Source organism: Homo sapiens, chromosome 13 (genome assembly GCF_000001405.40).
Source record: "Homo sapiens chromosome 13, GRCh38.p14 Primary Assembly".
In the NCBI taxonomy this organism is placed as follows: domain Eukaryota; kingdom Metazoa; phylum Chordata; class Mammalia; order Primates; family Hominidae; genus Homo; species Homo sapiens.
The window spans coordinates 109,008,521-109,033,600 of record NC_000013.11 but is presented as its reverse complement, the minus strand read 5'-3'; the positions used below and the strand labels follow the sequence as shown (position 1 = coordinate 109,033,600).

At 36.3% G+C, this 25,080-nt stretch overlaps 1 protein-coding gene across 7 annotated transcripts in view, besides 1 other annotated feature; it reads right to left on the bottom strand.

The window, feature by feature from the left end:
* MYO16 (myosin XVI) overlaps positions 1-25,080 on the bottom strand; it is a 712,290-nt gene that overhangs the window by 174,405 nt on the left and 512,805 nt on the right. For all 7 annotated transcript variants that reach the window (XM_011521062.2, XM_047430183.1, NM_015011.3 and 4 more), the window contains 2 exons: positions 24,552-24,704; positions 13,690-13,890 (listed from right to left, as the gene is read on the bottom strand). In XM_011521062.2, coding sequence (XP_011519364.1) covers positions 13,690-13,890; positions 24,552-24,704 — 354 coding nt within the window. The remainder of the gene's footprint in view (positions 1-13,689; positions 13,891-24,551; positions 24,705-25,080) is intronic.
* Positions 22,092-22,743: an enhancer, noted in NCBI's record as "NANOG-H3K27ac hESC enhancer chr13:109663206-109663857 (GRCh37/hg19 assembly coordinates)". NCBI's record gives its function as "activates a minimal SCP1, AML or CMV promoter by ChIP-STARR-seq in naive H9 embryonic stem cells {active_cell/tissue: H9 hESC(naive)}" and the evidence as "EXISTENCE:reporter gene assay evidence [ECO:0000049][PMID:30033119]".

Sequence of the window (25,080 nt, the reverse complement as noted above, 5' to 3'; positions counted from 1 at the left end):
TTTATTCCTGAGATGGAATCCTGATGGACCTCAATAATTTTCCATTTTCTTGTTTTGTCTACTCTGTCTTGTTGCTGACAGCTGAGAAACTCCTTCCTGCTACGTAGCTCAGGAAAAGACAGGGATAGATGCTGCACAGCACTGTTTAGGACTCCTAAAGAAAGATAATGGAGCTCTTGAAGGTATAAAGGAAAGCAAAGAGAATAATGTGGGACGACGAAGTCTGACAGATCGAGGCAAAGGGATGAGAATCGTCCACTGTAGGAGAACTGTATGTGAAAGGAGAAGCCGTCTGAGCTGCAAAATGAGTATTGTGCACAGAGCCTAATGGGTCTCAGCATGCTTGTCAGTGGTGCACTGCCTCACAGGCTACAGAACAGAGAGACGAGAGGAAACGGAGCCCTGGGCAAAGGGTGAAAACATGGATGTTGCCACTCTTCAACTCCCTGTAGTTCAGTAAGTGCACACACCAATGCCTCTGAATAGCAAAACCATGGTGTTATGTCCCTAGGTGGGCCTTTAGGGGCATTGTGTAGAGATTCACTACTTAGTTCTCTTATAAATACGCCTTAATTTTCCTTCCCTATTACTCTTACCTAGCTAAGATTATCCATAATTTACATGTAAATTAGAGAATTATATGTAATTCTCTGCATTAAAATTAGAGACTTTTCTGAAGCTTGCACAGGCTACCTTGTTAGGTATGCTAAGGTCAAATCAAATGCTAATTACAGTATCTCACATATATCTTCAATATATTTCTGATATTGAAATCTACATTTCCATGTAGTTAAAGTGCTAAAAGTTAAAGTTCCTCTAACAAAGCTACCCTCAGGTTAGACATGTAGGAATATCCAAGACTACAGCATGGCTAATATGCATGTGTGTCTGTCAGTAGTGGTATTTGATTTATGTGTGTGCCTGCCCATCTATCTAGCTCTCTACTGTATTTACTTCATACACCAAAGTCTACATCTATCAATCTATTGATCTTGTGCTCAATTTGAGTACACAATAGCGATTGCTTTATTGCTTTAATAACATCCAAATGTGGACATAAGTGCATTTCCACGGTTTCTTCCTTTGTCCTCTAAGTCAAGAGAAGGGAGGCTTCATGGGAACCTTCTTACACCTTTGCCTTGTCTCACTGGCTAGGAAGATACTGTGCACTGGCCTTTGGCCCTGGGAAGAAGCACAAAGGATGGGGATATGTGCGACGATGTGGGAGGGATAATGGCTTCTGCTGCAGCGGCCTGAGCTGTTCTGAGCCAGCACATGAAAACAAAGACCACACCACAGATGGAGGTTTTGATAGCGAAGGATATGGTGGTAGGGCTTCATCTGGTACACAAGCCAGAGCTGTGTTAAATCCTGCCAAGAGACACATGGGAAGTTGGAAATCATGGAGTCCAGTAGAGAGGGTCTATGTGGAATCAACCCCAAAACCAGGGTCGAGGGGGAGCAGCCAGCCAAAGATGAGCATCACCCACACCTGGGAAAGTCGGTCCCCCTAAGACGCCCAGAAAAGCACCTGAGTGAGTGTTAGCTTTGCACACGTGAAGCACAGTGTGCAGGAAACCACAGTGAAACAATGCACATCAGTAGAGGCAAAGCATGGCATGAAAAGGAAGAAAAAGGCACTTTCTAGGCCACCGTACAATGTCTAGGCAGTATCTGAGGCATGAGGAGACTTCACTTTCCATTAAATCTGTTGTTTTGACGATTACAGTTCTTAGTTACTGAATTGGGTCTGTGAGTGCCAAGTAAAGCAAATAAATGACATTGTATGACTAGACAGAGACCAGAAATATCACTGGAGCTGCCCAAATTTTTATCTGGTTACAAGGAAAAAACTAATCTTGCCGAATATATTTTAAAAAGCAATATAAGCCCAAAATATTAAGGAATCTCAATTACATCTTCTGAATTGTGTCTGTTCTACTACCAGGTAGGTGAAAAACAAAAATGTGAAAATAATTTGGAAGTTCTGGTTCTGAAGAGAGAAAGCAAAATTTATTCTTCAACTATGAGAAATAAGCTTGGGGACAGAAATGTTTAAAAGGTATCATTTATGCCCAACTGGTAAGTAGAGCATCCATCAGTGCCAATAGTTTAGGTCTATTATTAACAAATCAAATCAAAGTAATCACATTTAACTTTGAAGAGAGTTATCAGAGAAACAAAAAAACTAAATGAATTTGAGGCAGTTAATATTCCTTTAAGTAAAAATATTCATTCACTAGCAGTTTGGGAGGCCAAGGCAGGTGGATCACCTGAGATCAGGAGTTTAAGACCAACCTGGCCAATATGGTGAAACCCCATCCCTATTAAAACTACAAAAATCAGCCGGGTGTGGTGGTGGGCGCCTGTGGTTCCAGCTACTCAGGAGGCTGAGGCTGAAGAATCGCTTGAATCTGGGAGGCAGAGGTTTCAGTGAGCCGAGATCGCGCCGTTGCACTCCAGCCTGGGCAACAATGAGACTTCATCTCAAAAATCAAATCAAAACAAAACAAAATTCATTCATTCCTTTATTCTTTAATGATAATTAGTACTCATTCCATCAATTAGTGTTGAGGAACTACTGAAGTAGTCCAGAGAACAAGGAGGGTGATGTGAACCAGGGTACTGAGATAAGAAGTGGAGTATTTGGATTGAGAGTTAAATAAGAAAGACAGTAGCTTGTACTTGGTAATTAATTGGGTGTCTGGTTTTGCCATTAATTGAAAGGGGGGACAAATACAAAAAATCAGCTTTATTTATTTTCTTTTTTACTTTTTTGAGGTGAGTTGAGAGAGAAAGAGTGGGAGTGGGAGATGGGTAGGGAGTTTAGTTGACTTTGCTTCTGTTGAATTTAAGATGCTATACTAATAGAGATATTAAAAAGTCAATATGCAGCCCACAGCAGAAATAGAGTGGAGATCTGGGAATCATCGTGTATGTGCAACTGAATCTTGAGAGTCGATAAGCTCCCTGCTCTGAGAAACATCATCAATATTCACAAAATGAAAGTAAATTCATACATCCATCAAATTTATAATCCCTTTCTCATGTTATTTATATGATGCAAAAGATAATCCTTAGGAAATAAGTGGTTGGAATTAAATTTTTAATTAAACCACTTTTCTGGTGTTGGAAGTGGTGATAATTTAAAATGCAAAGTTTTGAGATAAACCCTTGAATTCAATATATCACAGAATATATGTGAAGATTGGATTTTAGCAAAATAAATAAGTGATCATTTGCAGCAAATATAAATGTGTCCAATTATTTTCCCTGCCTGGTTTCAGCTTTCTATCTGAGGTTTGCTGAAAAGAGTCTCAATTTCTTCTGTAGTGGTAAACTGATGTCTGTATATCATCAATATTTATAAGCAAGAGCTTCTATTCTTTTACTTTCCCATTAAGTGATTCTATCCGCTAGTTTTTTTTTTTTGCTTTCCTTCTGATTCACTTTAAATTGATGAATACTAATTAACAAAGAAGGTTATTAGGAACCTATAGTAATGTTGTTAAGAGTCCCATCTAGATATCTAGAAATCTGTATATGGATAGTCCCTTGAAATTGACACAGCTGAAATTTATGAATGTGCCTCATTGATTCCTTTATGAAAAAATATACCAACTAGCCATAAACTATCAATATTCTGAACAATCTAAAGTTTTATAACTTTCTGTCAGCTCATGAAATAAAAGAATATATTAAATATGTGAAGAAGCAGAAGATTCTCTAAATGAGGTATTACATTTTGTCTTAACAAAACCTAGGTAAGAAAAGGTGGATCATGCCTCCCACACAATACTGCCAAAGGGGAAATTCGTGTCAGCAGTGGAACACCAGGAGCCTAGTAGAGCTACTTTTTATTTTTCAAAACGCCTGCTCAAGAGGTGAACAAATACAGATGTAAATTAACTTCTTTCTGTGCAGGTCAAAATACCTTTGTCAAATAGCTTTTAAGAGTATCAGTTTGGCTTAGACCAGACTGATTTGATTGTTATGTCTGGGGATTCTGCCTGGAGAAAAGGAGAGAAACAAATGAAAACTGCCCTGTTGATTAGTTCATGTTTTTTGTTTTTTAATTTAAAAGTTCAATCTCAGAGTCTTCTTGGGTACAATGTGTCCCCCACAAATCTCCAGGGAGGTAAAGGACACGTTATGAAAGGTGTTCCTGACACAGGTGGAACTGAGAAGCTCAACAGACAGAGATCCCGCAAGCATGTTATATAAAAATGTTTAAGGTGGGAGGCCGAGGAGAGTGGATCACCTGAGGTCAGGAGTTCAAGACCATGGTGAAACCCTGTCTCTACTAAAAATACAAAAAATTAGCTGGGCATGATGGTGGACGCCTATAATCCCAGCTACTTGGGAAGCTGAGGCAGGAGAATCACTTGAACCTGGGAGGCGGAGGTTGCAGTGAGCCGAGATTGTGTCTTTGCACTCCAGCCTGGGCAACAAGAGCAAAACTCCATCTCAAAAAAAAAAAAAAAAAAAGAAAAGAAAAAATGTTTAAAGGCAAAGAGGTTGGCTTTCATCACTAGATCATCTAGAATCGACTGCAGCATTGCAGCATCAATGAGACAAAGATCTCTACTCGGGGACCTGCATAACAGCATAAATCTAAACAATAGGAACATTTCAAACTTAGTTTATTCAAAGATAGAGATACGCTATTTTTAAACAGAAGAAAAAAATCTACGTATTTTACAGACGGGCTACAAATCAGTGACTTCATTCTTTTCCTCACGTCATTCCCATCAGCAACGTTTTAGTGATGTGATTCCCGTAAAGGTCTGTGGAAATCAGTGACATGAACAGTAATGATCAGGGCCTACGTGTCTGAGATTACAATTTTATCTGTAGGGTTGTGGTTTAGAGCTACAACGAAGGAATCCTGACAAATACAATCAAAATCCACCACAGAAAGATGTATTTGCAAGCACACTAGATAAGGTGGCTGTAAGTTTTTATGCCATCATAAAATTACAACTCAAAATATGTATATAAATTGTAGAGAATGTTTTAATTTTATAAGGGGAAATCATATGGAAAGGATCTTTTAAAATGTGCAGTAACATTTCACACAACTGTATGCCTGATTAAAGTATTAGTTATAAAACTAAATGGTAAAGAATATATATTTTTTTTACAAAATTCCCTTCAAAGGGAGCTACTCATCACAAAGCATCCCAAATATTCTGTGAAAAACAAAATGTTACATTAACATAAACTAAAACATTTTGTTTTCTGTTTTCTCTTTTAATATTGTAGTTGAGAAATATCTCAATTTTCTGTATTTAATACTATATTTAGAGAATTTAATGTTATATTATACAATATTTTTATATATTTTTTATATTATATGTTTATATATTTAATTTAATACTATAGTTAGAGAAATATCTCAATTTTCTGCACATACCTTCCACTGAAGTCAAGTGTCATAAGAAGGGCCAGAAAATACTGTAATATAATGGGAGTGGTTGTACCTTTCCTATCATCTACTAAAGTGATACCAGTAACCGCATGTATATAAAAATACACATTCTAACATGACTTTCAAAATATTACTTTATATAATGTGAGCACTTTTATAAGATAAAAGAATTGACTCTGTTTTTTTTAAACAAGTCAAGGACACTTTACCACTTACTTTATTTGAGCAACTCAATGGGGCCACCAATATTCTCCTCTGAATATATGGCAAAAGTTGACTCGATAACTCCTGCAATATTTTCTGGTCTTCAATATCTGTGACTGATGAGTTCAAAATGTTACGAAGTACTGTTGTATTCCTGCACTGAAGACCTTCAGCCATTGTTGGGGAAATAGATGACTCACATACTTGAAAAAATGAGTAAAAATAATTGTATCTGCATTTATTGCTTGTCCTGTACTTAAGCTTCAGGACAAATTTATGAGGCTCATAATTATATTTTCTTTAATGATAAATATCATGGTGTGGCAACTGAGGGTCCTTATCCTCCTCAAAGGCACAGAGTAATGGAGCTGGAAATCAAACCCTGGCCAGCTGGGCCCCAGGCAGGGATCCTGCCCTTTCCACCCTCCTTCCACTATGCCACATGAATTCTATGAGTACAGACAATAAACACATTAGGAATGTCACCCCACGATGTGGTGAAGAGAGAAAAGCACAGTGAACTTGGGGGAAAATAAGACACAGTGTTGTCACTGCTAGCCTGTAGTGGCTTGTATAGTGTACCCTAAAATTCACGTCCACCCAGATCAACAGAATATGACCTTATTTGGCAATAGGGTCTTTGTAGATGAAATCAGCTAAATTAAGATGCGGTCCGGCTGGATTAAATCTTTGTGAGAAGAGGAGAGAACACACAGAGGGACAGGGCCATGTGATGGAGGCACAGATTGGGGTGATAGGTTTGCAAGCCAGGAACTGGGGTCTGTAAGGCAGGAATGCCAATGGCTGGCTACCACCACAAGCTGGGAGAGAGGCTTGGAACAGCCTCTCCCTCAGAGTCTCCAGAAGTAACCAACCCTGCCAACACTTGACTTTGAACTTCTATCCTCCAGCACTGTGAAAAAATAAATCTGTTGTTTTAAGCCACTCAGTCTACGGTACTTGGTTTTGGCAGGCCTAGGAAATTAATATGCTGCTGTACAATCTTTGATGAATCACTGAACTTCACCAAGGCTTATTTACCTGGAAAACGGAAATAGTAATATTTACATCCAAGAATGTGGTGACAATGTCACAGAAGTACTTTGTAAACTGGAAAATGTCATGCAAGCTTCAGGAATCATTATTGAGTAGGGCAAAATGAGATCAAGGAAATTCAGATCAGGCCAAGAACTTGATCTGAGGGAAGATGGATAAGATTTGGAAAGACAAAGAAAAGGGATGTTCCAGGTAAGGAAAACCACGTGCAAAAACCTGGGTTAGAGAAGTGTAGGAATCACTTAAAAACGAATCAAATGTGGCAAGGAAATTCTACAATGTTATCTGATAAAACTACTACTCTTATCATCTGTCAAGATGAACCAATAAATACTTTATGGTTTCCTAGGATGGCTGCAACAAATAACAAGTTAGGTGGCTCAAAACAAGAGAAAAGTGTTCCCTCTCACCACTGGAGGCCAGCACTCTGGAATCTGGCCCACCCACACCAGGCTCAACGGGTGGATCCTTCCTGCCTCTTCCAACTTCTGGGAGTTCCAGGTGTTCCTTGGCTCCTGGCTGCTTCAATACCTCCCCCCGTGGTCACATGGCCTCCTTCTTTTCTCTCAAATCTCTCTCTGCCTAACTTTTAGAGTAGGTTTTGGACGTAGAGACCACCCAGATAAGCCAGAATCATCTCCTCATCTCAAGATCTGTAACTTAATTATATAAATGAAGACCCTTTTTCCAAATAAGATCATATTCACAGTCTCCATGAATAGGGGCCTGAAAATATTTTCGGAGGGCTCCCGTTCAGCCCATTATAATGCATAAGCATTTGTGGGGAGAAGGAGCTGAAACAGGGATGCATCATCTTAGGTGTAAGAACACATCACCAATTTGTTGCCTATAAACCATTCAGGCCAATCACAATGGGATGCTTATCTGAGATCCAAAGAGATTCACTTCATGCTAATATAAATTTTCATAAAAAACAACTTTCAGACAAAGATCCTATGAGCAGACAACAAACAAGGCTCATATAGGTAGGTGTCATATATTGTATAACTATTACTTTTGACCTACATTTTCATTAATGCAATTTTTATTACTTAATGTTGTTTTACTATCTCCTAATCTATTTGCTCATCTCACATCAAAATTTAGGAACTTAAAAATACTATTTCTTACTAGAGTTAGTTTAGAATCATCTTAATGGAAATTTAACTTTCCTAAGAGCCAATGTCTTTCTCCAACCCATAATTCTTTCTTCTTTCAAGATTCTTAATTTTAATAGCCAATAAAATTAGACACATTCTGAATTTAATGCTTATCCATCATGTAAATCATCAGACTTTTAAGAGAAGCCCCTATAAGTGATAATCCCATATATGATTTAATATTTGCTAAAACAAATATCTAGCCAAAAAACCCTACAAGCCTTCTTTAATTCAGATTCATGCTCATTAATGAGACTGTGTTAATATTTCATGTACGGCCTCTTCCCATTTACTTTAAAATATTTCTGTAATGGTGATTGGAAAATATATTGTGCTCCTATGAGTAATGAAAAATTCAAATGTGTTTAGAAAAGATCTTCAGCTATAATTTAAATAATGTTGCTTAAACATTTCTAAAAGCACCTCAGAGCCTCTGTTCCAAACAAGACTCTGAAGCGTGGCCGGTCTTCCTGGTCAGAGCTTTCAGGATAGGCGAGTCCCTCCAGGTGGGGCTGGATGCCAATATCATCCAGGAGTAATAATTATCCTTCCTATGAAATGTAATGAATTTCCAGTAAAAAGACCAGGTAATCCCATCGTGGAGGAGCAAGTGGTGATGAAGGAGATACATTCTACCCCATCGGTCTGGCCAAAACAGTGGCAATAAAGCCAAGAACCCCAGGGCCATTGAGCTCTCGCTTGGGCCCAACTTTACTATCATAGAGCTATTTAGCAATGTTCCTCCTATTGTCCAAACTAGACCTTGCATGTTGATTTCAAATCAGTTAACTTTTTCTACGTGTCTTGATTTATAAAATTCAGAATGTGTTGCTGCTTTTTTTGAAACTGCAGTAGCTCAAAATTTAAGTGTATGTGTCTACATTTGATTATTCAAATGGCATATGGCTTGACATATTGCCACAAATTACATATAATCTACACTGAACATGTGAATGAGTCCTCAGGGAGTCTTTTGGCTAAGACTCATTAGTACATCTCAGTACAATAAAAGATTTTTATAAAACCACAAAACTGACTCCCATGAGAAAAATCTTGCTTAAAAAATTAAGGTGATTTAACAGGAACATTCATGTTTCCACAGGGGTTTAGGCTGTGCACCAACTAATCAATTGGTTTTCTCTGTTTTGCTTTATTTCTATCAGAATTCAGCAAAATAATTACATTGACTTAAACTTAGTTGATTTCCCAAAAATTTTCTAAAAATATTTGAAACTAAAACTGGAAATTTTAAGTGAATGTACAATTTTTTAAACTGAACATAAAATGATTTAAAAACTATTATTCCAAAGCACATTTCCACTGACTTTAATGCAATTAGCATTTATTGAACATCTAGTGCATCTCCAATACACAGTACAAACAGACTCAGAAGGCACATCAAGTACATATCCGCTTACAGTCACTTCCATGAAACCTTAGGAAAAGTAATTTCCTGAAATCATCATACCTCATTGTAAATTGTAAAATACTCCCTATGAATTCAACAAATATTAACTATGAAGAAAATATAGCCTGAAAAATTGAAATACAAGTCTAAGATTGCTGTTTTCCTAAAGAATTTGTAATAGTGAAATCTCTCAAATTCAAAGAACATGAATTATATTTAATTATATTTAAAATGTATACATTTTTATAGTTTATGTATATAAATTTATATTTAAATAAATATATGAGAATTTATATATAAATATAAATATATACATACACATTGTATATATAATATTTCTATATATACATATAGAAATATATACATATAGAAATATATAGTATATATTTATATACATATATTCATATTTTATATTTATGTATTTTATACTTATATATGTATTGATTAAATATATAAGTATTTAATAAAATTTAATAAATTTTATATTTATTGAATATAAATATCTAATAAATGCAAATATAAAATATAAATATATGTATATAAATGTAGAATATGCATATAATATGTATATAAAAACATATTTGTATACATATACGTATATATGTATATATGCATATATACATATATTTGTATATATACATATATACATATATATGTATATATACATATATTTGCATATATACATATATACATATATTTGTATATATATTTGTCTATATATTTGTATATATAAATATGTACATTTATATTTGTATATATAAATATATACATGTATTTGTATATATAATAAATATATACCTATATATTGTATATATAATTATAAATATATATATTTATATCTGTATAATATATAAATATATATTTATATCTGTATAATATATAAATATATATTTATATCTGTATAATATATAAATATATATTTATATCTGTATAATATATAAATATATATTTATATCTGTATAATATATAAATATATATTTATATCTGTATAATATATAAATATATATTTATATCTGTATAATATATAAATATATATATTTATATCTGTATAATATATAAATATATATATTTATATCTGTATAATATATAAATATATATATTTATATCTGTATAATATATAAATATATACATAAATTTATATTCATATATAATATATAAATATATACATAAATTTGTATTTGTATATATAATACATAAACATATACATAAATTTATATATTGTTATATGTATATACAATATATAAACATATTTACATGTGTATATATAATATATAAATATAAACATATACTTACATGTGTGTATTAATATATAAATATATACATACATTTACATGTGTATATATAATATATAAATATATACCTATATTTACGTGTATATATAATATATAAATGTATACATATATTTACATGTGTATATAATATATAAATGTATACATATATTTACATGTGTATATATAATAAATATATACATGTTTATATATTGAGTATAATATATAAATATATACTATGTTTATATATTGAGTATAATATATAAATATATACATATGTTTACATAGTGTATATATAATATATAAATATATACATGTGTTTATATGCATATATATAATATATACATATGTTTATATGCGTATATATAATATATAAATATATACATGTTTATATGTGTATATATAATATATAAATATATACATATGTTTATATGCATATATATAATATATATACATATGTTTATATGCGTATATAGAATATAGAAATATATACATATGTTTATATGTGTATGTAGAATATAGAAATATATACATATGTTTATATTGTATATATAACAAATATATACATATGTTTATATTGTATATATAACATAAATATATACATATGTTTATATTGTATATATAACATAAATATATACATATGTTTATATTTGTATATACAATATATACATATATACATATATGTATATTTGTATATATAATACATACATATATACATATATATTTGTATATAATATATAAATATATATTTGTATATAATATATAAATATATATTTGTATATTATATTTGTATATATAAATATGTATATGTATATATATTTGTATATATAAATATATACATATATATAATATATAAATATAAAAATTATAAATACATTATAAATATATAATATATAAATATATATTTGTATATATAAATTTGTATATATAAATATATATATGTATATATATTTGTATATATAAATATGTTTTATATGTATATATTATACATACATATACATATACATTTTATATACATAAAAATCCTCCATGGATTTCCTTCTGACGTGCCACTCACCACCCCAGCCTTCTGAGGCCTTGCCACTCTAATGCCTCTCAAAGCTCCTGTTTAGCCTAACTACCATATCACCCAGGTACATTTCCTATTGACCCCTTTTCTTCATTTCTCTTGGTTTCTATGATACCAATATCTCCTGTATCAGGCCCTCTGCTTTTTTGTTTTTATTGCTTCATCTTCCTACTTTGTCTAAAAATACTTCGTGAGTTAACAGTGTTAAGAGGACAAAGCCCTTGGTTGTACATGCATATTTACTCATGATTTGGCCCCACCCAATCTTTTTAGACATGTCACCTACCGCCCTTTCTACCCTGCACTGAACTTCTGACACAACTTCCCAAATACTAGGTAGGTGCTGTGTTGGAATGGCATCGCCCATGCATCCTGGTTGCTGCCTGTACCGCCAAGGCTGAAAAGGAGAAGCCTGCCTTCCACATATCCTTGCACTGGGATCCAGTTGCTCTTTAGCTTCCACCAGTCTGTTATGATGGCACAAGACTCAGAAGTAGATGCAGTGAAAACCACACTGCTGCTGCTTCTGCTGTGTTAGCTGGTGAGCCTCCGTGAAGATGATTTTCCCTTGCAGTGGGAATCTCCAGGTCTAGTCCCTCACTCCTTTGATGTTGAGTGCTAGGGTTTGCACACGCTACTTGTGCAGGTGGGAGCAGTAGCAGTAGCTGTAGCAGCAGCTTCTTAATTTGGCTAGAGGCTTCCTGATCTAAGATAAGGCTGTAACTGTCTTAGTAACTCTTTTCTGTGGTGTGCTTTTAATGTCATTCCTGAAAGTTCAATTTAGAGTCTCCCAATGATTATTTTCTCAAACTATATTATTTCCTACTTAAATAGGTAGAATGGATTCTCTCCTATACAACTGAATCCTGAATCAAAATTCTATGTCTTTCCAAGAATGTCCCCCCTTCTCTTTTATAATTAGTGAGCTCTCAATCACCTTTGAAGGTCTGGGTTTGGAAAGCATCTACACATTTTTTAAGCCACGCATTGCTTCCTTCCCTATCGTAATATATACATTTGTTGATATTATTATATCAATGTAATACATTATTCATATTAATATTTGTTCATTTGCCTTTCCCTATTCGAAGCTGAGATATTTGAAGGCAAGGAATAGGCTTCGTTCATCTTTGATTCTCAAATGCTCCTTCTTTGTCATAAGGCAGAGTCTAGAAACACTGGTCGAAATGAACTGAAATACACTGTAAGACAGCGGTGAGAGATTTTACCCTCTAGCACGCCATCTGTACTAAGTGGGGTCAAAGGAGTTAAGAGTAGGAGACAGAGAGCTGTACATGCAAAAGTGGAAGACATTAACTACAGCTGGGATTTGGACTGAGGATAAACAAACATGGATTTAATACTGAAAGTTGGATAAAATTTGATCTTGTTAAGAAGACAAGGAAGATATATCAAGCTTAATGTAATGGAGTTTAAGGGAGGCTGAAAATGCAGAAACACTGAGTGGTTGAGAAAAATAACCTGAACAGAGATCTTGCACAGGGGAGTTCTGGCAGGTTAAGATATGGAAAAAAATTATGATCAGCTTGGAGAAACCTGATATTAGCCTGGACTAAGGAGAATGATCATTTTTATACAAGTAAGAGGAAGTCCTTGAAGGTGTTGAAGTAAGAAGCATGTTTTACAAACCTGGTTAGAGAATTGGGAAAGATATGAGAGAGTGGCTTTCTTTCTTCCTTAAGTTGACATGCTTTAATAAAAAATACTTTAATACTAAAAACTATATTCAAGGCAAGAAAACTCAGATGTCCAATGTTCATCTGTATTATGAATAATATTCCAAAGTTTATAGCAGAGCTCTTTGTATTAAACCCAGGGATCCTTTGCTCATATAAAGTTATAATTCTAGAAACATTATGAGAAGGCCCACACAGTGTGCGTCATCATTCTGAAGATGTTAATTCCTCATCAGGCTAAAAGAAAATCACTTAGAAAAGTACATGTTGTGGGTTGTTCATCCAGCTTCCATTTATCCAAATAACACACCTTAAAATATCAATAACTCTAGAGCTTGTCCCAAGGACCTTTGATCATTAGTGCACATGAAAAATTATGCAGTTCTGGCCACTTACCCTTCCTGCGTAGTGCATGATGGTGAAGGCTGTACCGTGGTCTTTGAGGGCAACATTCCCATTCCCATCCTTCATGGGGGAGTACACCGCATTTGTGTTTGAGGATTCTAGGAGACTTTGTAGTTTTTTTGGAAAATTTGATTCCACTGACCAAATCATTTGACTTTCTTCATCCAATAAGGTGAGAAATCCAGATGGCTTCTGAGAGTTAAGAAGAGATGGGGAGTTGTTTTGTCTATTACTTAGTTTGATATTTTTGTTATTATTCAAGCATGCTTGCTTATATTTTTGTTAGATTCATATAGACACTCAGAAAATGAATCAGTCTTTACCTTAATATATTTCTATTTCTACCCCACCACCTAGCAGGGCTCTGATGTAAAGTAGGTCCCCAATAATATTTATCAAATTAATGAACAAATAAGTAAAAAACGTATTGTAATGTCATTAAAATACTGTAGTTATTTAAAAAGTACATTTTCATCTTAATAAGAAAAATGAAATTCAGACTACAGGAAAATTATCATTTTTCTTGACCTATAATCCATATAAAATATTCCATACCAATGATGAGACAAGAAACTTATCAAAAAATAAAGCTTATCGTGATGTTAAGTCATAAAAATTATGGCAAAGCTGGTTGCAGTGGCTTAGGCCTATAATCCAAGCCCTTTGGGAGGCCAACGCAGCCAGGTCATTGAGCTCAGGAGTTTGAGACCAGCCTGGGAAACATGGTAAGACCTCATCTCTATTTAAAAATAATAATAATACAGAAATTAGCTGGGCATGGTGATGTGTGCCTGTAGTCCCAGTTTCTCAGGACGCTGAGGTGAGAGGATCACTAGACCCCAAGAGGTGGAGGTTGCAGTGAGCCACGATCATGCCACTGCACTCCATCCTGGACAACAGACGCAACCCTGCCTCAAAAAAAAAAAAACAAAAAAAAAAACAGAGTATGTCCAAGATGGCCGAATAGGAACAGCTCTGGCCTGCAGCTCCCAATGTGATTGACACAGAAGACAGGTGATTTCTGCATTTCCAACTGAGGTAGCTGGTTCATCTCACTGGAACTGGTTGGACAGTGGGTGCAGCCCATGGAGGGTGAGCTGAAGCAGAGCGGGGCATCGCATCACCCAGGAAGTGCAAGGGGTCGGGGGATTTCCCTTTCCTAGCCAAGGGAAGCCGTGACAGACTGTACCAGGAAAATCGGGGTACTCCCGCCCAAATATTGTGCTTTTCCAACGGTCTTAGCAAATGGCACACCAGGAGATTATATCCCATGCTTCGCTCAACGGATCCAATGCCTACAGAGCCTTGCTCACTGCTAGTCCGAGATGGAACTGCAAGGCGGCAGAAACTTCTGCAGACTTAAACGTCCCTGTCTGACAGCTCTGAAGAGAGCAGTGGTTCTCCCAGCACGTTGTCTGAGCTCTGAGAATGGACACGCCACCTCCTCAAGTGGGTCCCTGACCCCCATGTAGACTAACTTGGAGACACCTCCCAGTAGGGGCCGACTGACACCTCATACAGCTGGGTACCCCTCTGAGACAAAGCTTCCAGAGGAAGGATCAGGCAGCAATATTTGCTGTTCTGCAATATTTGCTGTTCTGCAGCTGCTGCTGGTGATACCCAGGCAAACAGGGTCTGGAGTGGACCTCCAACAAACTCCAACAGACCTGCAGCTGAGAGACCTGACAGTTAGAAGGAAAACTAACAAACAGAGAGTAACTGTATCAACATCAACAAAAAGGGCATCCACACCAAAACTCCATCTGTAGGTCACCATCATCAAAGACCAAAGGTAGATAAAACCACAAAGATGGGGAGAAACCAGAGCAGAAAAGCTGAAAATTCTAAAAACCAGAGCACCCCTTCTTCTCCAAAGGATCACAGCTCCTCACCAGCAACAGAACAAAGCAGGACGGAGAATGACTTTGATGAGCTGAAAGAAGTAGGCTTCAGAAAGTTGGTGTTAACAAACTTCTCCGGGCTAACAGAGGATGTTCAAACCCATCACAAAGAAGCTAAAAACCTTGAAAAAAGATTAGACGAATGGCTAACTAGAATAACCAGTGTAGAGAAGACCTTAAATGACCTGATGGAGCTGAAAACCATGGCATGAAAACTACGTGACGCATGCACAAGCTTCAACAGCTGATTCAATCAACTGGAAGAAAGGGTGTCAGTGATTGAAGATCAAATTAAGGAAATGAAGTGAGAAGAGAAGTTTAGAGAAAAAAAGAGTAAAAAGAAATGAACAAAGCCTCCAAAAAATATGGGACTATGTGACAAGACCAAATCTACGTTTGATTGGTGTACCTGAAAGTGACAGGGAGAAGGGAACCAAGTTGGAAAACACTCTTCAGGATATCCAGGAGAACTTCCCCAACCGAGCAAGGCAGGCCAACATTCAAATTCAGGAAATACAGAGAACACCATAAAGATACTCCTCAAGAAAAGCAACCCCAAGACACATAATTGTCAGATTCACCAAGGTTGAAATGAAGGAAAAAATTCTAAGGGTAGCCAGAGAGAAAGGTCGGGTTACCCACAAAGGGAAGCCCATCAGACTAACAGTGGATCTCTCGGCAGAAACCGTAAAAGCCAGAAGAGAGTGGGGGTCAATATTCAACATTCTTAAAGAAAAGAATTTTCAACCCAGAATTTCACATCCAGCCAAACTAAGCTTCATAAATGAAGGAGAAATAAAATCCTTTATAGACAAGCAAATGCTGAGAGATTTTGTCATCACCAGGCCTGCCTTACAAGAGCTGATGAAGGAAGCACTAAACATGGAAAGGAAGAACCAGTACCAGCCACTGCTAAAACATGCCAAATTGTAAAGACCATCAATGCTAGGAAGAAACTGCATCAACTAATGGGCAAAATAACCAGCTAACAGCATAATGACAGGATCAAATTCACACATGACAATATTAACCTTAAATGTAAATGGGCTAAATGCCCCAATTAAAAGACACAGACTGGCAAACAGGATAAAGAGTCAAGACCCATCAGTGTGCTGTATTCAGGAGACCCATCTCACATGCAGAGACATATATAGGCTCAAAATAAAGAGATGGAGGAAGATCTACCAAGCAAATGGAAAACAACAACAAAAAAAGCAGCATTTGCAATACTTGTGTCTCATAAAACAGACTTTAAACCAACAAAGATGAAAAGAGACAAAGAAGGCCATTACATAATGGTAAAGAGATCAATTCAACAAGAAGAGCTGACTATCCTAAATATATATGCACCCACTACAAGAGCACCTAGATTCATAAAGCAAGTCCTTAGAGACCTACAAAGAGATTTAGACTCCCACACAATAATAACGGGAGACTTTAACACCCCATTGTCAATATTAGATCAACAAGACAGAAAGTTAACAAGGATATCCAGGACTTGAACTCAGCTCTGCACCAAGCAGAACTAATAGACATCTACAGAACTCTCCACCCCAAATCAACAGAATACACATTCTTCTTAGCACCACATCACACTTATTCCAAAATTGACCACATAATTGGAAGTAAAGCACTCCTCAGCAAATGTAAAAGAACAGTAATCACAACAAACTGTCTCTCAGACCACAGTACAATCAAATTAGAACTCAGGATTAAGAAACTCACTCAAAACCGCTCAACTACATGGAAACTGAACAACCTGCTCCTCAATGACTACTGGGTAAATCACGAAATGAAGGGAGAAATAAAGATGTTCTTTGAAACCAATGAGAACAAAGACACAATATACCAGAATCTCTGGGACATATTTAAATCAGTGTGTAGAGGGAAATTTATAGCAATAAATGCCCACAAGAGAAAGCAGGAAAGATCAAAAATCGACATCCTAACATCATAATGAAAAGAACTAGAGAAGCGAGAGCAAAGAAATTCAAAAGCTATCAGAAGGCAAGAAATAACTAAGATCAGAGCAGAAGTCAAGGAGATACAAACACAAAAAACCCTTCAAAAAAATCAGTGAATCCAGGAGCTGGTTTTCTGAAAAGATCAACAAAATTGATAGACCACTAGCAAGACTAATAAAGAAAAAAAGAGAGAAGAATAGAATAGACACAATAAAAAATGATAAAGGGGATATTACCACTTATCCCACAGAAATACAAACTACCATCAGAGAATACTATAAACAACTCTGTGCAAATAAACTAGAAAATCTAGAAGAAATGGATAAATTCCTGGACACATACACCCTCCCAAGACTAAACCAGGAAGAAGCTGAATCACTGAATAGACCAATAGCAGGCACTGAAATTGAGGCAACAATTAATAGCCTACAAACCAAAAAAGTCCAGGACCAGATGGATTCACAGCCAAATTCTACCAGAGGTACAGAGAGGAGCTGGTACCATTCCTTCTAAAACTATTCCAATCAATAGAAAAAGAGGGAATCCACCATAACTCATTTGATGAGGCCAGCATCATCCTGATACCAAAGCCTGGCAGAGACACAACAAAAAAGGGCAATTTTAGACCAATAGCCCTGATGAACATCGATGCGAAAATCCTCAATAAAATACTGGCAAACCTAATCCAGCAGCACATCAAAGAGCTTATCCACCATGATCAAATGGGCTTCATCCCTGGGATGCAAGACTGGTTCAACATACACAAATCGATAAACGTAATCCATCACATAAACAGAGCCAAAGACAAAAACCACATGATTATCTCAATAGATGCAGAAAATGCCTTCAACAAAATTCAACAGCCCTTCATGCTAAAAACTCTCAATAAACTAGGTATTGATGGAACGTATCTCAAAATAATGAGAGCTATTTATGACAAACCCAAAGCCAGTATCATACTGAATGGGCAATAACTGGAAGCGTTCCCTTTGCAAACTGGCACGAGACAGGGATGCCCTCTGTCATCACTCCTATTCAACATATTGTTGGAAGTTCTGCCAGGGCAATCAGGCAAGGGAAATAAATAAAGGATATTCAATTAGGAAAAGAGGAAGTCAAAGTGTCCCTGTTTGCAGATGACATGATTGTATATTTGAAAACCCCATCATCTCAGCCAAAAATCTCCTTAAGCTGATAAGCAATTTCAGCAAAGCCTCAGGATACAAAATCAATGTGCAAACATCACAAGCATTCTTATACACCAATAACAAACAGAGAGCCAAATCATGAGTGAACTCCCATTCACAATTGCTACAAAGAGAATAAAATACCTAGGAATCCAACTTATAAGGGATGTGAAGGATCTCTTCAAGGAGAACTACAAACCACTGCTCAATGAAATAAAAGAGGACACAAACAAATGGAAGAACATTCCAATGCTCATGGATAGGAAGAATCAATATCGTGAAAATGGCCATACTGCCCAAGGTAATTTATAGATTCAATGCCATCCCCATCAAGCTACCAATGACTTTCTTCACAGAATTGGAAAAAACTACTTTAAAGTTCATATGGAACCAAAAAAGAGCCCGCATTGCCAAGACAACCCTAAGCAAAAAGAACAAAGCTGGAGGCATCATGCTACCTGACTTCAAAGTATACTACAAGGCTACAGTAACCAAAACAGCATGGTACTGGTACCAAAACAGAGAGATAGACCAATGGAACAGAACAGAGGCTCAGAAATAACACCACACATTTACAACCATCTGATCTTTGACAAATGTGGCAAAAACAAGAAATGGGGAAAGGATTCCCTATTTAATAAATGGTGCTGGGAAAACTGGCTAGCCATATGTAGAAAGCTGAAACTGGATCCCTTCCTTACACCTTATACAAAATTTAATTCAAGATGGATTAAAGACTTAAATGATAGACCTAAAACCATAAAAACCCTAGAAGAAAACTTAGGCAATACCATTCAGGACATAGGCATGGGCAAAGACTTTATGAGTAAAACACCAAAAGCAATGGCAACAAAAGCCAAAATAGACAAATGGGATCTAATTAAACTAAAGAGTTTCTGCACAGTAAAAGAAACTACCGTCAGAGTGAACAGATAACCTAGAGAATGGGAGAAAATTTTTGCAATCTACCCATCTGACAAAGGGCTAATATCCGGAATCTACAAAGAACTTAAACAAATTTACAAGAAAAAATCAAACAACCCCATCAAAAAGTGGACAAAGGATATGAACAGACACTTTTCAAAAGAAGATATTTATGCAGCCAAAAGACACATGAAAAAATGCTCATCACCACTGGTCATCAGAGAAATGCAAATCAAAACCACAATGAGATACCATCTCACACCAGTTAGAATGGCAATCATTAAAAAGTCAGGAAACAACAGGTGCTGGAGAGGACGTGGAGAAATAGGAATGCTTTTGCACTGTTGGTGGGAGTGTAAACTAGTTCAACCATTGTGGAAGACAGTGTGGTGATCCCTCAAAGATCTAGAACTAGAAATACCATTTGAACCAGCGATCCCATTACTGGGTATATACCCAAAGGATTATAAACCATGCTAGTATAAAGACACATGCACACGTATGTTTATTGTGGCACTATTCACAATACAAAGACTTGGAACCAACCCAAATGTCCATCAATGATAGACTGGATTAAGAAAATGTGGCACATATACACCATGGAATACTATGCAGCCATAAAAAAGGATGAGTTCATGTCCTTTGTAGTGACATGGATGAATCTGGAAACCATCACTCTGAGCAAACTATCGCAAGGACAGAAAACCAAACACCGCATGTTCTCACTCATAGGTGGGAACTCAACAATGAGAATACTTGGACACAGGAAGGGGAACATCACACACTGGGGCCTGTGGTGGGGTGGGGGGGGGTGGGGGAGGGGTAGCATTAGGAGAAATACCTAATGTAAATGATGAGTTAATGGGTGCAGCAAACCAACACGGCACATGTATACATATGTAACAAACCTGCATGTTGTGCACATGTACCCTAGAACTTAAAGTATAAAAAGCAAAAACAAAAACAAAAAAAAAACAAGGTGGCAAAATCCTACTCAACAGGAAGGAGAAGTGACTGTGATATTCCAATTTTTAGACCTAGAAGAAAGTTTGAAGCTATGACTTATAAAACTTAAATTAGAAGTCTGACAGTTTATAACTACTGAACAATAAAACTAAAATCATATACATATATATATATATATATACACACACACATATAACAACAATTTGAAATAAATCTCATCTGAGAGCAAAGGCTGCTTAAATCACTTCCCAACCTCTAATCTTCCATCCCCCACATATGGAATACCTTCTGACCACATGGTTTAGACTAGAGGGCCCCAACCTTTTTGACAAGAGGGAACGGTTTTGTGGAAGACAATTTTTCCACGGACCAGGGGTGGGGGGGATGGTTTCAGGATGATTCAAGTGCATTACATTTATTGTGCCCTTTATTTCTGTGATTATTACATTGTAATATATAATGAAACAATGATACAGTCACCATAATGTAGAATCAGGCATTCGATTCTCATAAGGAGTGTGCAGCTAGATCCCTCTCATAGGTTCCTGCTCCTATGAGAACCTAATGCTGCCACTGATTTGACAGGAGCTGGAGCTCAGGCGGTGAGATGCCAGTGACGGGGAGTGGCTGTCAATACAGATGAAGCTTTGCTCCCTCACCTGCTGCTCACCCCCTGCTGTGAAGCCTTTTTCCTCACAGGCCGTGGACCAGTACTGGTCTGTGCCCCAGGGGTTGGGGACCCCTGGTTTAGACGACTATTGAATAACTTCTTCCCTAGTGCTGTTTATCTTTTCTTTCTATTATGTCCCCTAGGAAAGTTTAGTTTTTGTTGACATTTCAAATCTACCTTTCACAATAAGGTAATTTATGAAACTTCTTCACATTAATCCCTAATATATCTTAATCGTTCTCACTGTGCTTTTAAATGTGTAGATACTCTGATAATAATTCTTCTCAGGAAGTAAAGAGACATATATTGACCCCTATTGTGAATTCAGTTTGTATTTTGACCTGAGGTTACCAAACCATACCACTACAGGCAACTCAAAATGTTATTTATTTGGCTAATAAAGGCCATTTCTTTGTGTCTTAAATATTTTAATTGTTTTAGGCCTTTCAGAGTCTCCTGCTCCTATTAAAGAAAATCCAGGCCAGGCACGGTGGCTCACACCTGTAATCCCAGCACTTTGGGAGGTGAGGCAGGCGGATTACGAGGTCAGGAGATCCAGACCATCCTGGCCAACATGGTGAAACCCTGTCTCTACTAAAACTACAAAAATTAGCCAGGTGTGGTGGCACACACCTGTAGTTCCAGCTACTCAGGTGGCTGAGGCAGGAGAATCGCTTGAACCCAGGAGGCAGAGGCTGCAGTGAGCCGAGATCGCGCCACTGCATTCCAACCTGGGTGACAGAGCGAGACTCTGTCTCAAACAAACAAACAAATAACAACAAAAAAAAAAAAGAAAGGAAGAAAAAAAAAAAAGCAAAAAGAAAAATAAAATCCAAAGACTGCAATTGCCTGAGAGCTGCAATGGTGAGATCACTCCCTTGCCAGCCAAAGGGAATGAAAGCTAATAATGCCAGCCATGAGACACGCACACCCCTGGTGGGGCTCACACAGCAGAGCGTGCTTCTTGAAGATACTCAGCAATAATGACAGCCACCTTCTTTGAGAAGCCACATAACCTCCCTGGGAAGGAAAGAAAGAGAAGAAGACCTAATGCAGAGGAGAATGCCACTAGGAAGGAAGTAGGAATGCCTGCAAAAGCAAGCTAACCCACCTCAGCAAGTTATCTGAGGTCAGCAATGCCTGGTGAGACTGCTGTTGCCACACAAAAGTGTTTTTAGATAAAGGAATTTGAAGAAGAAAGCCCCTTACTGGGAGTGCTGGCTCAACAGGAAGTTCCATAGAGTACACTGCAAGAAGCTCAGAGTGGCCGGGGGCCCCCATGAGGAGTCCTCTGAAGAGGCTGGAGGTGAAGAAATATATATATATATATATAATATTATATGTAATATATATAATAGAGAGCAGCCCTAGAAGAAAACGGTCTATGTGAGAAGCTTGCCAAGGACTGGTTCCATCTGTGATGTTTTCAAAATCAAACAATTCTTTATTTCAACTAATAGCAAGCTATTTACTGAAGAGTAAGTAAAGTGTTGATATTACAATATTATCCATCATTGCTTCATCTATTGATCTGTGAGCATCAGGTCACCACACTTCTGTAAATGCTGTTACAGGTTCACATACAAACTTACACAAGACACACAGCAGAAGGACAAATGAGCCATTGCAAGGTTGTCTGCAAGTCTGTTTCTGTTTCAAGGGCAGTGACAGACCTCTTCTCTGGGGTGAAAATATTCACTTGTTTGGTAAAGCTGTCAATGGATATTGCAGTAACTCAAAGACAGGGCCCCAAATCAGTATAAAGGAGATAGACATTCAGAGAGCTAACTGATTCTGCTCCAAAAATCAAGATGATATTCTCCATGGATAAGGTGGTTGATTACTAGCAACATTTTTTAAGCATTATTATTTGTATTGTCTTCAAATTAAAAACAAAATCTTGTGTGTTATGTTTTCTGGATGTCTGAAATAAAGCAATAAAAGAATGGGGCAATTAACCTTTTAGACTTTGAAAACTTGTGGAAGTGCCTAAAGACAAAAATAGAACCTAGGGAAATAAGCCATAAGAAAGGGATTAATGACCTCCAATTCCTTTAGTAGTAACGGCTTAGAAGAGATTGCATGGCTCTACTCCATGTGAAAGGTTGTCATAGTTTCACCTTCATCAAATACTACACAGTGCAACAAAATGTACTAGACACTTGGAGTATTTGGTAAAAATCTGGATCAACCCCTCCCCTCAGGGCCAGGGACAAATAGGTAATCCTTGAAATATAAATATGGCCCATGCAAGTTTTTATTCTGATGACCCCTGGTTAGCAGTGGAAGAGAACATGGCAAGCTAGAGAGAAGGTGCTAGATGCCTGAGGCGTCCCGTATACAATTAAGTATACAGTCCTGCCGGTTTGAAGACATTTTTAAACCTTAAATAATTATAGGTTATGTATGTCACTACGAGGGCTTTCTGGAGGAAGAGGGCTGTAATTTTAGAAAAAGAAGAATGCTGACAAGTTAGAAGCAAGAACAAGAATGTGTTAATCAGAAAAATTCATAAAATAAAATAATTTAGAAATCTATCTTTATGGAAAGAGAGTAAAGAATGACATATTCTCCAAATAGCTGAATTGTGTCTGTTTTCAACAATGTCCATGTATCTTGGAGATATTGTGAGTAAATCCATATAATGTTTTCTTATATTAGTACATCGCAATTGCTGTTTATGTGATAGATTTTGGCTTATATGATAGAGACACAGAGTCAAATTGTTTTTCATTGTAAAGTAGAAAAACTAAAACTATAAACACCTGCAGATGCTGTGAGACTCTTAATTTAACCGACATTATATATGTGTTTATATGTTTTTCCTGCCAGTTTTTCCAAATTTAAATCTTAGAAACTTTGAAGATAAATTAACAAAAAAGATTCCATTGAACTTGTTTTATGGTATGATTAATCTTAGGTATTATTTTATAAAAAGTCTGTTTTTTTACAATAGGCACTTATAATTGCCAAAAGGAGAGTTTTAGTGATGTTGAATAAACAGTGTTGAATATTTCTATATCAAAATGATATTTTCTTGTCCTTTTAATGAATTGGTGATCCTTCAAATGTCCTTTCATAAAAAGATAACTTGTGCACCTCAATACATTTTGAAAAATTATTGCAGAATCTCACATATAAAGATATCTCAAAAATAAGGCGTCCTGAAAGAAAATTCTTTGTCTCCAGTATATTTAAACCCATATATCCTGTTAAGTATCTAATTATATTATATGAATACCTGGAAAAAAAAGTCCAAAACTCCATTCTGGTTACCAGGAGAATATGCTGTTTCCATGGTAACTCCCTCTTGTACACATTCCACTTGCTCGTGGAGAAAAAGCACTTCATTGATATAGTGGTGCATCTTCTCATTGGTCATGTTGACACAAAGCTGTTGTGGAGAAAACAAGAAAACATTTCACCAGATAGTACAGTAGTGCATACACAAGATAGATAGTACAGTAGTGCATACACAAGATAGTACAGTAGTGCATACACAAGATAGATAGTACAGTAGTGCATACACAAGATAGTACAGTAGTGCATACACAAGATAGATAGTACAGTAGTGCATACACAAGATAGACAGTACAGTAGTGCATACACAAGATAGTACAGTAGTGCATACACAAGATAGACAGTACAGTAGTGCATACACAAGATAGATAGTACAGTAGTGCATACACAAGATAGTACAGTAGTGCATACACAAGATAGATAGTACAGTAGTGCATACACAAGATAGTACAGTAGTGCATACACAAGAT